Source organism: Homo sapiens, chromosome 2 (assembly GCF_000001405.40).
Source record: "Homo sapiens chromosome 2, GRCh38.p14 Primary Assembly".
Taxonomy (NCBI): Eukaryota; Metazoa; Chordata; class Mammalia; order Primates; family Hominidae; genus Homo; species Homo sapiens.
This window is the reverse complement of record NC_000002.12, coordinates 39,680,543-39,698,827: the sequence shown is the minus strand read 5'-3', so window position 1 is coordinate 39,698,827 and position 18,285 is coordinate 39,680,543. Positions and strand designations below refer to the sequence as shown.

Genomic DNA, 18,285 nt, shown 5'->3' with positions numbered 1-18,285 from the left:
AGTAATTAACTTAGTAAAAACTTGCCACAAAGAAAATTCCATGACCAGATGGCTTCACTGGTAAATTTAACCAAATGTTTAAGGAAGAATTAACAACCTTCATAGACTCTTCAAAACAAAAAAAAAAAATAGAGCATGAAGGAAACTTCCTACTTCTTTCTATGAGGCCATTATTACCCTGATATGAAAAACCAAAGACACCACAAGAAAAGGAAATTACATACTATTCCTTATGTATAGATATGCAAAATTCCCCAGCAAAATATTAGCAAACTGAATTCAGCAACATCTGAAAAGAGTTGTACACCATGACCCAGTGAGATTTATCTCAGGAATGCAAGATCATTTCAATATATTAAAATCAATTAATACAATATACCATATCAACAGAATAAAGGTCAGAAACCACCTGATCATCTCAAAGATGCAGAAAAAGTATTTGACAAAATCCATTTGCTACTCATCAACAACCCTGTGAGCTAAATATAAAGGTATTATTAACTACACTAAATGAGTAAAAGAATCCGAAGCTCAGAGAGTTAAGTAACTAGCCTGAGGCTATTACTCGGTTGTAACCAAGCTTTAACATAAATGCTGTTACCCAAACTCTATATATTAAATACTATTACTCAGAAATGTTAGCAGTCCTTAGTTTTCTAGACATGCATCTTAATTTTGTGGATAGTTAAGCTAGAGTTGCTACATGTACTGTCAATTTGAAATAAAAAACAATCTTTCCAATTTAGAACCAACATGTGCTCTTTTGGAAACAAAGCTGATTCTTAATTGAAGGAGATTGGATTGGCGACATGGCTGACTCAGTGGCTTCATCCTACCTGCATCTCACAGAAGCTGCTTAATGCTGGAGAGAGGGTGTGAAGTGGGGAGAAACTATTTTCTCAGACTCACAAGAGCTGGCCTTAGAACAGCTTCTGTGCTAGGGAAATGTGTGGTCCCTTTTAAATCACTGCAAATATACTCAAGACCCATCTCCTCCTCTGTTCCGTGCTTGTAATGGGCAGGATCCCAGTGGGCAAGAAGAGTAACAGGAAGGAGGTGGCAGCTGGCCCAGGGTTCTCCTGCTTCCTCTGCATGTGCCAGGAATTAGGTAAGTAGTGCACACATCACCAAATCGCCTTTCCTTCTCCATGGGGCTCTCAGGCTAAATTTAAAGTGCCAAGAATTCTGAAATGAAAAGAGCAAGAGGGTAGGGAAAATGATGAGGTGTGGGCTGACAGTAACAAGCAGTACTCAAGGACTCCAAAGAGTGTGGGTCTGGTAGCAAGCCCAGAGCTCCACAGCTGAGTTTGCAAGAAAATGTTCTATGGTCCAGGTGTTCCACTCCCTTGGAAGATGATTAGAGACTTCAGGCAGAATTAGAAGAGAAAGTGGGAATGAAAGACAGCTCACCAGCAGTGTCAGAGACCTGCCATTAGCTGTTTTATGTCCTTGTTCTTAAACACTTGTTCCACTGTCATAGCAGAAAGTCAGATAGATTTGAAGAGGAAAGCAATATTATTAAGGTTTGGCTCCCTACAGCACACACATTAAATTGACAAAATGAAACCACAAAAATCTTACAGGGAAAGACCTGTAGTTGCTTGACAGAACATATCAAGCAACCAAAGACAAATTAGGTCTTTCTGATAAAAAGACAAGCACATATATATACATAGATGGTGACGGAAGTTCCATGCAGTGTTATGTTAAGGAATAATTTATACTGTTAAAATCCACAAGGAGGCATTAGATTCCAATTTTTTCAAAGTCATACATGCAAACTTTGAAATTAACTGGCTTTCTGGGTTTAGAGAGCAATGAATCTGGCTCTCTGAAAAGGAACACAAAAAGCATGAGCTCATAGCACCAGATGGCATCACACAATGGGGGGAAGAAACATGCAGAGGATTGAAAAGAACAAGTTGTGGTTTATATTTAGTGATTAATTAGCTTCTTAAAGGGCCAAGTAGAGCCACTTTAATGATGATATAAACCATAGAATAAGATACATAAGTATGTTGCACAGGGGGTTAGAAATGGAGCTTTTTGCCTGGTGAATTTCTGTTGTTTTCAATACTGAGTTCCAAGCTAAGTCATAGAAACCCCTACTCGAGGTTAAATAAGGAAGAAACATGAGAAAGATGCTATAAACAGTCATTACTATCAATCAATAATGAGGCGGGCAGTATACATGATGGTTAAAGACCTTGCGGTCAGACAGACTTGGGTTTGAATCCTAGTTGTGTGACTTGTGGCAAATTACTGAAGCTCACTGAGCCTTGGTTCCCTCGTCTGTAAAAGAGGGAGAATAATGGCAGATACCTCACTGAGTTATGGTGAGGAATGAAAGAGGTAATTCAGGACTTAGCATAGGATGTGTGGCCCACTGTAAGTACTCCATAATGTCAGCGATGGATTATGAATTCCCTCTTGGCACCTGCCCAATTCGCCATACAGAACCACTGCCACACACCAGGAGTCTGCACCTTAAATGGTCATCACAGATTAACCCAAGTGCACAGAGAAATAAACAGACACATGGCAACAGCTGCCTGAACAATGGCCCAACCAACAGCTCTCATGTTTCCTCTCCATTCTCGCCACTTTAGAACAAGACTCCCATCACCTCACTCCTGAAGAATTTGCTAACTGACCTCCTTGCTCAACCCTCAACCTACCCTGCATGCCACTGCTAGATAAATTTGCTGTGTGAAGTTTTGAGGCCTCTGGAGTCTCAGTTGCCCATCAGTAAAATGCAATATGAAAACCTTTAAGATTTTTGTTACATCTACCTGCCTTTTACAGTATCATTAACTTAATATGTGGCTTTAAATTGATTACTGTAAGCAAGGAACAGTTTCACTTGCTATGATATAATTATGTATTTGTTTTAAAATTATGTATTTATTTAAAAATAAATTGTCTGACACATATAAGTACTATATAATTGTTTATTTAAATGTTTTAATGCTTTGCCATTGTGTCAACTTCCACACTGACCAACAGAAGATGCGAAAATCACACGCGGTCCCTCAGAACATAAGACTGGGGTTTTCATTGACTGGCTCTGTCCAGGAACATACAATTGGGTTCCCCCTGAATCGAATTCAGACTCTAGACCCCTACCATCTATCCCTACCTCCAACTTCACTTACACTTACCTGTGACTGGTTCCCAGGGGCTACTTCCCTCCCTCCCCAAATTGTCCCCTGGCAACATCATGTCCATCTCTGTGACCATCCTAGCCTACATCACTAACTTTAGAACAGTCCAAAAACTACTAATCCCTCCAGGCTCACTGCCTTCGAAAAGCCTACCCCAAACACTGCAGACCACATAGCTCACTCTCTTTGCTGAGCCTCACCATCTCACTCTTGATTACTGGTCTTTGTCACTGCCTACTAGATCAGAAAGTCTGCCTCTTCATTAATGTCCCAAGTTCCTTAAGCAGGGAGGCTGTGACTTTTTTCTGGATTACAACATTTAAGAGGTATGTCTGAAACAGTTGATGGCAATAGCAGTACCACTAATGCTTAAGGTTCTCTAGCAGAAAGAGTTAACAACAGGCTACACCATTTCCTAAACATTTCAAAGACAACTTGGAATTCTTCAGCTGGCCCTTGAGCAGAAAAATAAAGAATTATTTCCCCAGCACACGTCTCAGTTTGAAAAGAAAAATCAATCATGCAGTCATAGGACAGGGTAGCAGCCATGTTCTGGTCAGAGATTTAATTTCAGAGCAAAGCAGGGGCTAAAGCAGACAGACAAAAATGCTTTCCTTATCACCTCCTGTATTGGGTATAAACAGTTAACCTTGTTAAAATAAATAAACTAAATACAGTAAGTTTAGGGGCTTAACACTGACTTTTAGAGCCTCAAATGGCTAAACCAGTCCCAAAGGCAAAGCTCTTGAGGACAAACCTTTCATCAGGTCTACAGAACTGAAAGGAGAAAGATACTAATTAGTAAATCTAAGCAGCTCTGTCCGGTAGAAATATAATGCAAATTGTAAGAATTTTAAATGTTCTAATGGTCATATTGAAAAATAGGTGAGATTAATTTTAGTATTTTTAAATTTAACATGCAATCAATACTTTGAAAGTTGTTAATGAGATATTTTATATAGTTTTTTCATACTAAGTCTTCAAAATCTAAATCTAATATCTTCTACTTATAGCACATCTCTTTTCAGACAAGCATCATTTCAAATGCTCAATAGTCTCATGTGGCTTCCATCCTGGAGAGGGGAGTTTACTAGATGAAAATGAGTAAGACTCCAACCAAAGCAAAAGCAACTGGGAGCAAGAATGTTTGATATAGAAAGGGCCTGAAAGGTGTGAGGTTATTCTTTGTTTAGATCTTGTGTCTACCACATACTATATCTGGTTCTGCCATAATTGTTTCTTATTATTAATGGAGACTCAACTTCCTGGTAACTAAGAAATTTTATCTGTGTTCACTCTATATTCTCTCTGGAGCAAGACAGGCTGGATTTGCATTTTGGCTTCACTATTCACTATCTGTGAGCCCTTGGCAAGTTATTTAACCTCTCTGAGCACCAATACATAGACAATGACAGTTCATCTATCTCAAAGGAGGATTAAATGAAATAATAATATAATATTATTAGTGTTCGCTTTAATTATTATTATTATTATTATTATTACTACTACTACTATTGCTACTTTTTTTATCTGAACAAATCCAGGCAAGACTTAAAGGCAAGACTCAGGTGAGTTCCTTGAACTGCAAACACATTATCTCTAGGGGCCAAAGAGGGAGAGTTCAATGACAAGTCAGACAGATTCAACCCATTTCAGAGATAGTAAACATCATCACAGAAGTTAAAAAAAAAAAAAAAGGTGGCTGAGGAATAAACCAGAAATAATAGTGTTCAAAAAGGCATGATCTTGTGCAACAGTGGAATCTGTCATTGGGTTAGGCTGACCACTGGCTTGCTGAATTGATTTTTAAATCTCCTTTAATGTACTTATTATATTGTATCTATAATAAAAAGTAATATCGTATTTTAAAATTTTAAATCAGATTCTCAGCTTCTCAGAACCATCTTGGCATACAGTTGGTGACTTATCTGGTGTGGCAGGTACAGTATTTACAACTCAAGACTAAAGAGAAGATATAATTTTATGTGGCTTACAGAGGATTCTCCCTCCCTGCCCTCCTCTTCTCCTTTCCTTTTTCTTCCCTCTCTAGCAGGAGACAAGAGAACCACAATGTAGAGACACTATTCTTTTCTCTCCAACTCAGGAGAAAAGGGACCTGATTATGCCATTAGAGAGAAGGCAGACACAGGCAAGACCTGACATCCATCCAGTGCCTTGTTCCCGGAGTCACTGTCTCATGTGAAACTGAATACAGCCATCAATTCAGTGGATGCTCATGTGGAACACACTGTGAGATTTTCCTTTCCACATGGGACCCCATGTTACAAAAACAGGCTAACAGTCACTACTGGTTACTTTTGCTCTAGTCACAACATACCTCAGAAAGATCAATATAGTCAGAACACAAAAGTTGTCTTAATAGTACATGGGTCTAATGCTATTGTTTTTACAAACCTGAACTTAAAATCTCTTGGATTCAGGAAAGCATCCAAAGAAGGTGGGAAGCAAACCTCAGCTTTCTTCACTCTCCTGTATGACTTTTGTTGTTGTTGTTTTTTGTTTTCATTTTTGTTTTCGTTTTTGTTTTTTGAAACAGAGTCTCGCTCTATTGCCCAGGCTGAAGTGCAGTGGCACGGTCTCCGCTCACTGCAAGCTCCGCCTCCCGGGTTCAAGCCATTCTCCTGCCTCATCCTCCTGATGAATTTTTTTTAGAGTGAACATCAATGAATGTAACTTTAAATTGTAAGGTTAATTAAGCCTGCGTGCTTCCAAATGTTAACAGAAATTTGGGAATGTATTTTTTCTGCCTTAAATGTGTGTATGTAAGAAGCATCATGCAAAAGTGTAAACTAGAATACTGGTTTTCAGGACATGCTGTGTGACTTAGAGCAATCAACTTGACTACTCTGAGCGTATATTTTTTCATTTGTGAAATAGGCGGTCACACAATCTCACATTATTGTCTTGAGGATCAAATGAGCTAATACATATATACTGTCCTAACACAGTGCCTAGCCCATAGTTGACGCTTAATAAATGTTAATGTCCATCTACTCCCTCTCCCCTCCCCCTTTATAGGCAGGACAAGTAAAGTGTGACCTAGGGATCATAGTACTTGTAATTTCATCCTCATCTCCAACATTTAGGAGAAAAAAAAAGTAGCCAACTATCAATCACTGTCTTTTTTTCTCCAATTTTTCTTATTGTGGTAAAATACACATAATATAAAATCTACCATCTTAGCCATTTTTATTGTATATATTGAAGGTACAAAACTTGATGATTTAATACCTGTATATACTGTGAACTAATCACCACAATCAAGCTAATTAATATATCCATCACACCACATAGTTACCCTTTGTGGGTGTGTGTAGTGAGAACACTTAAGTTGTACCCTCTTAGCAAATTTCAAGTCTATAATACAATATTGTTATCTATCCACCATGCTGTAAATAAATCTCCAGAATCTATGCATCTTGCATAGCTGAAACTTTGTACTCCTTGACCAGCATCCATCTTCCCATTCCCCCTGCCCCTGGTTATCACCATTCTACCCTCTGGTAACCACCATTCTATTCTCTGCTTTTATGAGTTTGAATATTCCACATATAAGTGAGATCATGCAGTATTTGTCTTTCTGCAACTGGCTTATTTCACTTAGCATAATGTCTTCCAGGTCCATTCATGTCACATATGACAGCATTTCCTTCTTTTTTAAGGCTGAATTAAATATTCTATTATATACATATATATGTATATCTATATATTCTTTAGCCAAGAAGCAACCTAAATAATATTCCATTATATATGTGTGTATGCTTTAGTCAAGAAGCAACCTAAAGGTCCATCTACAGATGAAAGGATAAAGAAAATGTTTTATATATGTATGTAAATGTTTTATATATCTATATATAAAAATTTTCCTTTATCTATTCATCTGTAGATGGACCTTTAGGTTGCTTCTTGGCTATTGTGAATATTTGGCTACTGTGAATAATGCTTCAAAGAACATGGGAGTGTAGACATTTCTTCGAGATCCTGATTTTAATTCCCTTGGATAAATACCCAGAAGTGGGATTGCCAGGTCATATGGTAGTTTTATTTTTAATTCTTTAAGGAACCTCCATATTGTTTTCTATAATGGTTGTACCAATTTATATTCCCACTAGCAGTGTACCACGGTTCTCTTTTCTCCATATGCTTGCCAACACTTACCTTTTGTTTTGTTTTGTTTTAACAACAGGCACTCTAAAAAGTAAGTATTCTTAGTTGCCAGGTGTTTTTTAATTTCTTTCAGCACTTTGAATATATTGCCCCATGCTTTCCTGGCCTGCAGGAGTCTGCTGAGAAATCCACTGGTAGTCTTATGAGGATTCCCTTTTGCTGCTTTCAAAATTCTCTTTGTCTTTGACTTTCAACAGTTATATTATGATATGTCTCAGAGAAGATCTCTTGATGTTCAGCCTATTAAGGGTTCTTTGAGCATTGTGGATCTGGATGTTCACTGCCCTCCTCAGATTTAGGAAGTTTTCTGCCACTATTTCTTTAAATATGCTTTCTGTCCCTTTCTTCTTTCTTTGCTCCTTCTGGAATTTTGTCTGATACTATCCCATATGTCACAGATACATTCTTCACTTTTTCATTCTTTTGTTTGTTTGTTTCTCCCTCTTACTGAATCACTTCAATTGACCTGTTTTCAAGTTCACTGATTCTTTCTTCTGTTTGATTGAGTCTGTTATTGAGGCTCTCTGTAGAATTTTCACTTTAGCACAGTATCTTCTGCTTCAGAATTTGTTTGGTTCTTTGTATGATTTTTATCTCTACTGAACTTATCATTTTGTTCAGTATCGTATTCCTGATTTCATTTAGTTGTCTCCGTTCTCTTGTAGTTTACAGAGCTTCTTTAAGACAACTATTTTGAATTCTCTATCAGGCAGTTCATAGATATTCACCTCTTTGGGGCCAGCTACTGGGACTTTATTTTTTTCTTTTAGTAGTGTTAAGTTTCCTTGATTCTTCATTTTCCTTGAAGGCTTGTGTTGCTGTTTTCACATTTGAAGAAGCAGTCTCCTCCTCCTGTCTTTACTGACTGGTATAGGGAGAGAATGATCTTCATATTTATGGACACACCTGTCCCACTTCTTTCATTCCCTCTTGCAGGCAGTGGGGGGCATCTTAGTATTGTTGGCCTTCTCTCAATTCCACCTTAGGACACTGGCCTTTACTTAATCAACACTTCAGGGCACTGCCCTTTATTTTCCCCACGGCAGTGTCCTGAACTGTTCACATTTGTACACCTTCTCTGCATCCCAGAGTTGAGCTAGGTGCTGATATTCACGTGCTGTCTGAAAGAGCAGGCACACACCATCTCAGAAGCTTGTGTACACCACTTAGGGATATACACAGATAGCTGGGGGCACATGACAGCCAGTTGAGGGAGCACGTGACTGCAGGTGAGGCATCCCATGGGGTTCATGGTTGGGCCCCTTGATGGAGTTCACCGTCAGTTAACAGGATCTGTGGCCAGATTTTGAGATCTACGCAATGGTTTTTGTGAGCTCCTGCCTCTCTTCCCTGCTCCTAGGTTCCCCTGGACTATTCAAACATGCCAATCCCCTTAGTGATCTAGGGGTGGGGCAAGGCAGAAGCGAGCATCTTGGACAACGTCCTGTGAGGCTCTGGAAATCAGATAGTCACTACACTCTCTACCCCACTGGAAAAATCACAGGCCAAGGTGGTCTCTCTTGGCATTGAGCTGTGCCACCTCGACAGAGATGTGACACAGGTAAGGTGAAACTGTTCTTATTCTCCTCTTCAAGGTATCTATTCTCAGATTTTTTTTCTCAAATGGGGTTCTAGAATCTCTCCACTGGACTCCTGAGTTACCACAGGGGTATTCTTAACATGGATAATTGTCAAAATCAATGTTTTTGTGTGGCTTTCAGGGTTGGAACCGCCTATTCTTTCATTTGCTAACATCACTGTTTCTTAACCACTTTTAAGTGTACAGTTCTGTGGATTAAATACATTCATATTGTTGTGCACCCATCACCACCATCCAGCTCCAGAGCTCTTTTCATCTTGAAAACAAAAACTCTGTACACATTAAACAAAAACTCCTTATTTGCTCCTCTCCAGCTCCTAGCAACCATCATTCTATTTCCATGTCAATCATTACTTTTGCATTCAAAAGTCAATCATTTTATTTACTCTTTCTTTCACTCATTCATTCAACAAACATTTATTTAGCACATGGCTTTTAGACAGATGATCTGCTTTCTGAGTCTAGAATATGGTGCCACAAAAACTAAAAACTAACAAAATGAAACTAAACTAGATCTCTGAAATGGGGAGGGAAAAGGGGAGGAAGAGATCTCCTACTTGCCACATGATGATCCATAAACATTAATGGCTTTAGCAATTTCCCAAATACTCAGAAAAGAGCAACTTACTGGAGAAAGGCTGCACATTTTAGCATGGGTTGGCAGTGTTCCAGAGCAAATTATCCTTAAAAACAATATACTGTTGGTCCCTTCCAGGTGTCTTGATAGAATCCTTCGTATTGAGCTACACTTTCAAAAGTTTGTTTCCTTTATGAAAATGAACTCTGGATCAAGCTGAATTGACTAATTACTACTGTATATGGTGAATAGGAAAGTGGCATTTGGTACAGCTAATTTATGAAAATATAGACAAGGGCAATAGCTCTGCTCAGAGTGTGAAAAAAATTTAAACATATTTGATACCGTGAACAATGTTCTCATGTCCCCTTTACTAGATGGGCTGCTGCATTTATGATGGGATATGTTATAGATACATAGCAAGATAAATGGAAACTAGGAGCTCCTTTCAAGCTGGACTTCAGGATCTACAAAGAGAATCTGTTCTATAGCTGGCTCGTTAACTGACAGAGTTGTATTTCTGAATTTTTACAGATAATTGAAATCAATTTCAAAAAAATACTGAACTGATTATGAACAATATTTTCAACTTTTTCTAAGCAATAATCAAAGTTAAGCAATGATAAAGCAAAGTTGAAAAGACTGAATTGCATTTCCTTTTACTTTTTCAGCCCACCCTCTTACAGTTAGATAGCCTGGTTAGTACCAGAGTCAAAGAAGGAAAAGGGCAATAAAGTGTACAAATTAGACGTGTTATCATTTAGATGCTGCAACAAGAGTTGAGGATGGCACTCACCACCTTCCAGTGGCAAGAGCCTCATGGTAGGAAGAAGCCAAATCCCAAAGCCATTAGTGGCAGCAGCAGGAAGTGACAGTCAGGGCAGGGCCCTCTGTCTTTAGCAGCCTTTATCACTATTTCCCATGTGTCTAGTTCCTCCAGCAGCTCCACAGGCATCTCTAAATCACGACCCAAGTCTGCAGCCAGATAAGCACACTTTTGAGACCACCAGAATTGCTTTAGTGTAGTTCTAGGAAAATGATAATCCTGCTTTTATTGATTATATAGCATGTTATGCTTTGTTCAAAGTGCCTTCTCATACATCCTTGTTAGTTACCTAAGGAAGACATTCTTCCTCTTTTGCAAATAAGGAAAACAAGGCATAGAGCACTTAAATGGCCTGCCAAAGGCCACATAATTAAACAGGACTGATAATAACTTACTAAAAGTATGCTATATGCCAGGCTCTGTGCTGAGAGCTTTACTGACATTTCCCTCATCTGATAGGTTCTATTGTTACCTCTGTTTTACAGAGAAGGAAATTGAGGCTGAGAGAAGTTAAATAATCTGCCTACAGTCCCACAGCTAACAAGTGACATAGATGGGATTGAATTTGCATCTGCCTCCAAAATCAGTTCTTAGATATCTAAACAGACTTTGTCAGTTAAGAATCACTATGACTACATCTGATCATGCCCAGTTAACCCTTTCAAGTGAACAAGGACAGAGCAGGCAGGCCTGTGTTGACACATGGCATTGCCTTTATCATATCAATCTGTACATTTCCATCCCCTTTGCTTTCACACTGATACCTTGATGCTGCCTTCTACCCACACTGAAGCAGAAACAGACTCAAGGAAATCCCTATATCAAGCTCTGCATAGAAAAGCTCCTTTCCCTGCTTGGTTTTCAGGTGCCTGAACACCTGACTGGAGCTGAGGAAAACCATGAAAAGGGGCACAGAAGTGACTAGGAAGCATGAAAAAGGTGCAGGAAATGGGGGACATGCAGGGAAGTGACTCCACCTCTCTATAACCTCAGAGCCCTAGACATGCATGAGCCCCACATCAGGGGTGGGAGTTAGGGGTTCAATACCTGGTGAGGATGGGAAGGGAAAACCTCCTCTTGACCAAGTGGAACTGACATCTCCAGACAGAAATCTCTCTATGAGTGGGGAAAAGGGGGCCCATCCCCACAGTTGCGCCTTCTAAACTGAATTCCTTATACTTCCTCCTACCTGAACGTACCCACCCACCCCACATAGTTCAAACAGTCCAAATAACTATCAGGTGCTTGACCCTAAAATATGAATAGCCATCTGGTCCAGTTCTGACGACAGCATGAAGGGGAGGTATGATCCTCTTTCTGTTTACCACCCATCCTTATCATATCTAATCCTGACAAGGACACACAGATTTCCTGGCTGGACAAGAAGGAGAGGGTGAGACAACTTGCAGACAGTCCAGACCGGTACTTTACTACCCTACTCACTGCATCTCATAATACACACACACACACACACACACACACACACACACACACACACACACACACACATGCATATGTGCACATATACTCTGCCACATTTTAGCCTACATCTCAGGCCCCCAAAACATTTCCAGCCCTAATTTTATGTCAAGCAGCATGATGACGTAGCCAACCAGGCAGGAGGGAAAAAAGCGCCATTAGGCAGTTTTCCTAAGCATCCCTTAAATCAGCTATTTGGGAATTCACTGCTAAGAATCAGTGGATAGGAGGAGTTTAGAGGAACACCAAAATCAGAGGTTAGCACCCAGCCCCCACTCACTCTGTCATTTACAGCTCCGCCCCCCCATCTTCTCCCCATCCTGCCCCCAGACGCTACTGCCTACTGCACTCAGGCTCTCCCCTCTGCCACCAGCCACCATCCGTAGCCCAGAGCTGCAGCACATCAGCATTCCTATCACTCCCCTCAACCCAAGGGGAAAACATTCCAGCTGCCTTATACTTAAGCATCACCCTCGGCACCAGAAGCCGGTGCCTGTGCAAAATTGACAAGGAATATGTTGATAAGAAATGGGGCTGTTCCAAGTTTCTGAAGGATAAGTAGGTAATTAAAAAAAAAACCTAATTTAAGAGAATTCTGAAGACATTTTTAAAAACTCTCTGGCAACATCCTTTATGGATTATCCCCTTTTACCAGAACACTTCTGTTGTGCCTTTGTTTGATATTCCAAGCCTGGGGCTGGACAACCACTATTCTAGGGCATCCCACAGTCCTCGCCACTCCTCAAGGGTAACTAAAGAGCCTTGGGCTAGGAGTAGAAAGCCCACCTCTGTTTCCCTGCAGGGCTCAGAAGTACGTGAATTTTCCAAAGTCTGAGCACCTGGTGACTTCCTGCTCAGGGCTCAGTAGATTGCTCTCTGAGGACTGGCACCCTGGCCAGCAGCTGCCCCCATGTGTGTAGGGCAATGCAAAAGGTCTCAGAGAGCACCACTAGTCACCAAGGCACGAATGTGCAGGGGTGAAATCGGCTTCAGCGCTCCCTGCTTCTGGATGCCCCACTTCACAGCCTGGCTGGTTTCAGACCCACAGTAAGCCAAAACACTTCCTGAGACACACAAACAAACACAAGCTCTACAAACTGCAGACCAGGAGGTTGTCACTTCCTCAGAGATGGCCTGGCATGTTCTTCATTCTACACAGCCTCCCTATCCTGGAGTTTGGCTTAATAATCATGGTCCTACTACCCATTAGGTAGCTTTCTACCTGCAGCAGAGAAAGTCTCTGAGTCTTAGTTAATGTGAAAAATGGGGCTGATAATGTTTATCTCATTGGAATTCCAAGTAGTACAAGAGACCAGGCACTTCTTATGCATGATCACCTTTCATCCATGCTTCCTGCCTTACCTTACTTGGTCACATCTAACTTAACTAGTCTTATCTAGCCCGATTTACTGAAGAGCCTCACCTATTAGACCTTGTAATTTTCACTCAGTTCAATCCTACCTATAAAATGAATGAAAACAAACAAAAGCCCTACCCTCACAGAGCTTAGAGTCTAGAGAAGGACAGGGGCATTATTGAAAGACTAGCACAAAGAGATGTCAAATTACAACTCTGACATAAAGGAGAAGTACTGAGTGTTCTGAAATCATAGAACAGGGTGCCTGAGCCATAACAGGAAGAGGGCTGACATCCCCAGGATAAGCAAGATGATCCTTTAGGGCAGAAGGAAGAGCATGCACAGGGTTTTGTGGTGAGAGAGCAGCTCACTCCTGAACAGGAAGACCTGCAGGCCTGGGCTGTGGAGAGTAAGGGGGCATCACTGAAGAAGTTGCTAGAAAGGAAGGAGGCGGCTAGACCATGGAGGGAATGAAGGCTGGGCTGAGACTTGCTCTCTATTGGGAACCCCAATGGAAGTCACCAGAGATTATAAACTAGGAAAAGGCATGATCAGAATTGATTTTTTAAAACAAGCAAAAAACATTTTACTGTGGCCCTTGCATGAAGAACAGATTAGAGGCAGTAATATAAGGGATGGAAATATAAACAGGCCAATACAAAACTGCCAAGAGAAAAAGGTTCCAGTGAGAGGAGGTTGGAGAATCCTTCCTTTGTCAAACTCAGCCGGGTCCAGGGGCACGTGTGGGTGGCACTGGGGGAAGTAAATGGCTGTTCCAGACAGAGGAACAGCAAAAGCGAAGGTGTAGGGGACAGGGTTGTTTATAGGAACTGACAGGAGGTTCAGTATTGCTGGAGCAAAAAGCATGAGAGGGAGAGTGATGAGAAATAAAGAGCTAAGAGGAAAGGTCGACAGGGACCGGGGGAGAAGAGCTCCCTCCCCCACGCAACAAGACTCCATCCAGTAAGTTATCAGGAGCTGCAGAAGGATTTAAGCAAGGAGGTGATATGATCAAGTTTATTTTAGATGGTTCTGTCAGTTGGGTAAGAAAGGGATATGAGGACATATGGGAATAGGTGGCTATGCATCCACACATTAAAATACTTTGCAGATATTAAAAATGATCAAAACTGGAAAATTATGTGGCTTAATGCTCGATACAAAGCAGTATATTTCACAGTATCTCAAATAATATGTTTGTGTATACATTAGCATAAAGACTGAATGAAAACAAATCTTTTAACAGGTTTATATAACTAACTGGCAGGATAACAGATTATTTTTTTCCTTCTTTACAGTTTTCTGCATTTATCACAATAAGCATGTATATATGAAAGTTCATAATCAGAAAAAAAAAATTTAAACTCCATGAAGTCAGCATGAATGGCCCTATCAAACTGATAGCAATAATTTACATTTTGATAGCACCTGATATTTAGCAACCCTAAATCTTAAACCACAAGATAAATATCATTCTATGTTCACAGAGGAGAAAATAAAAACATGGAAGCAAAATGATTCATTTAACATGACACAAAAGGCTAGAGGCAGAAGCAGATCAGAACTAGGTAGATGCATGCACTCTTCAGCTGGTTCAATTATTTTTGCTGAAAAGTTACGTGAACAGAACAGATCATACATAATTCAATAATTAAGATAACCAAATAATTAGGAACAGCCCAACAGACTGCATGATTATCAGCCCAAATCAATAAAGAAGTCAATCCAAAGCTTTCAATAAATAAGGCACTGCTAAAGGAACTGTAATTCCAGAAGCCTGATCTCAAGTACGTCAGTATTTTTCTAGAAGTCAGGAGGGGGCTGATATTAGAAGGGAAGAAAGCAGAAGTTGCTTCCACACTGTGCCCATCCTCATCCATACTGATTGTGTTAAAAGGAAGGGAAAAGCTAATGCAAGTGGTACACGATTGTGGCATACTTAACTGCAGTGCCAAAATAGGTGGCATACAGCCCTATTTCCCTAATTGCTGATCACCTCGTGGCTTTTTCCAACACTTCCCTATCACCCTCAGGAACTACAAATACCCAATCTTAGGTGAAATTACAGCTGCATATATTAGACTTTCCAGGCTCTATCCTGCCTGGGATAAGCTCCTGTCCACATCCTGGACAGGGAAGCTGTGTCCTGGAACAGCACCAGATCCGATTGCAGGGCATGTTACTTCTCTTCCGTGACTGCCCAGAAAATACAGCAAAGGAGAGCCCCATGTGAGACTGGCCTTATTTTTATTTATTTCTTTTAAAACTTCAGAAAAGCTTAGAGAAACCCAGTGGTATTTTTAACATGGCTTCCATAGCCTAAAATAACATTCTCGGCTTTGCTGGATGGGTGAGGTGAGACTATGGGGACGGACGATGGAGGAGGTAGGAGGCTTCCCAAAATTGCCAGCCTTGCAGATTAAACAAGTGCAAATTAGTCAGTGTCCAGATTTATGCTGAAATGGACGACACCGTATTTTGCAAGCTAATAAAGTGGCATTTGCCTGTAAATACAGAGAAAATGAATAACCAATTTAAATTTTCTTAATCTACCGCAAGTAGTCCTGAAGATCAATAGAAGAACAATTAACTAGAAGTTCTGCATCCATGGGTCCTAATTCAGCCTTTGCCACTGCCATCCCCCTGTATCTGCTTTATCTTGAGGAGGTGGTAATGGGCTGTCATGTTAGAGACTGGCTGGAAAGCCCAGGCTGTGAAGAGGAGAATTGTGTGGGATGCCCCACAAATGAGATCTGCTCACACCTGTCAGTCATCTGGACACTTTCACAGACCCTGTGACCCATTTATATTTCTGAGCCCTCTTGAGGTCCCTTGGCTATGTAATTCTTGCCCTGCTTTCATCCTCATTTTCTCCTCTAGGAAGGAGAGCCACAAAATTTACATCATTCTCTAAATAGTAAATGCCATATACCTTGATAGTGTACTTATTAAGGGTCTCTCATTAGAACACAGAAAAATATCTCAAAGGCCCCAGGCAGTGGCAATAATGTCCCAAAGTCTTCACTAGCAGGAGTACCTCCTGAAACCTCACCTGGGAACTATTTGCCCCAACTTCAGACCTAGTATCTACTTGCTTCATCTATGGCCCCTGGCTCCTGGGCCAGCAGAAGCAGCAAAGTGGAATATTCAAAGGGACAGCCAGAGGCAGACAACAGAAGCAGAAGCATACGATATTTAGGAAGGCAATAAGCATTTTAAAAAATCAAAACAAGCACAATATTTAAAAAAAAAAAACATAGTAAACTGCATCATTTAGTTTTAAGGCAAATAGTTCTACAAACCTCTGCATTCCCTAAGGGAACCTAGGCATTACATCATAGTTCACACTGATAACCTTGAGTCATTAAGCAAAAGTTAAAATTAGCGCTCTCTGTTTCAGAAGGCAGACATGTGCATAATGCACTGAATGAATATATTCATCCAGTTTGATAAATACAAGTTTTGATGCACAGAGAGGTAGGTTTTAGCTATTTGGAAAACTCATTCTGTACTTCCTGATGCTCCAAGTAAGTCATAAAATATAATAAAAAGGTAAACTGTTAGAAAGCATGAAGTCTGACCCTTCACTTTTAAAATGAGAAACTGAGGTCTAGAGAAGTTGAAATGACTTGCCAATGTCCCACAGGGAGCAGGAAGAGCCAAGGCCAGGCCTACAGCTCCTGGTTCTCAGGGTTCCTATTCCTCTCCCTCTGGAGTACATGAACACCATCTCCACTGTAGACAGGTGATAACTACCAGCAGTTCCAATGTTATTCTCCTGATCATATACACTTAGTCAGGAAACAAGGCTCCTTTCTCCCTTTGTAAAAACTGCTCTGAGTTTTGTGAGAGAAAGTTGCTGTGTAAATTTAAGGTGCTTTTTCTTTTATTCCATGACTAATGCACTCATCATATGGCTACTACAGAGTAATTTCAGTTTTCTAGTTCATAGTCTCCCATGGATTTTGTAAGACTCTTCCCTAGTGTGACTGCTAGTAGAATGAAACAAACAAACAAAAATCCCAACAGAATAAAAAAAAATTCTAAGAAACATATTTCCAAATCAAGACACCAATTCGAAGACCAATATGTGATGGTCCTCATCCACGGAGGTGTCTCTCTCCCCCTCTTTCCCATCACTGTCCAGTACAGTTCTATTAAGCTATATTGAACACTTTCATTTTTCTCCTCTTAATCTTTTAAGTCTTCCGAATGACCAAAATGCTTATGACAGGGCAAACATGAGGTGGTATGCTCAATACCTTAGATCATATACATTCTGTCTTCTGGAAGTCACACTGTGGCTCTTTCAATGAGAATCAGCCTGACCCTGATGGAGATGACACAGATCTCTTGGCATGTCTACCTAATGTCTGCTTTGTGTGGAAGGATTTAAGTAAAAACAGGTCCTATCAAGCATCAGAGGTTGAGTAGCAGATCTGCCATTATAATCATTGCCACGTATGACTAAAGAGGTTTACCTAGATATGTCCTTTCATCAGTATAAACGAGGAAATTGGGGGTCACAGAAAGTCATGTCATGTTCAAATTTCTTGAGTAGGGCTTTGAATAAAATTAACTATTATCCCAATTGCAATATGTGGCAAGCTACCTAGAAATAACATTCAAGGAAAAAAAAACAAAGAAATTGAAATGAATAATCCAGATTCATAATACAAATTAAATTAAAGTGATTAAGTATAACTTCCAGGTATTTAACACAGAATTATTAAATTCAAAAAGCACTATCTAAAACTTTTGAATAAAATGAAGCACAATTATAGACTTCTCTTTGTCTTCACATGAATTATGAGTATTAAATACTCTCATGAAGCAAAGAAGGAATAAACCTACAATGTTTTTCCTGTTGAAACAAAAAAAAGCATGTTTTTTTCTTTCATCAAAATCTTTTCAAAACTTCTTCAAAGAAATTTAAAATGGGCAATTAAGGCAAAATTTAAATTATACTAAGTAGTTTTCTAAAGGGTATACTCCTTTTGCATTCTCTACTATGAACTCTAATTCCAGTTCCTGACACCAGGTATAACTTATTATCAATTCCCTATGAAATCATCTAAGAAAAAAATTATAAAT

General features: G+C 39.9%; 1 protein-coding gene across 8 annotated transcripts in view; it reads right to left on the bottom strand.

Annotated features, from left to right (window-relative positions):
• Positions 1 to 18,285, bottom strand: part of TMEM178A (transmembrane protein 178A) — a 70,478-nt gene that overhangs the window by 37,133 nt on the left and 15,060 nt on the right. The window contains exon 1 of one of the 8 annotated variants that reach the window (XM_017003371.2): positions 837 to 934. The exons of the other annotated variants lie outside the window; for them this stretch is intronic. The gene's annotated coding sequence lies outside the window, so the exon portion shown is untranslated. Of the gene's footprint in view, positions 1 to 836; positions 935 to 18,285 lie in introns of those variants that run through there. 8 annotated transcript variants of the gene reach the window in all.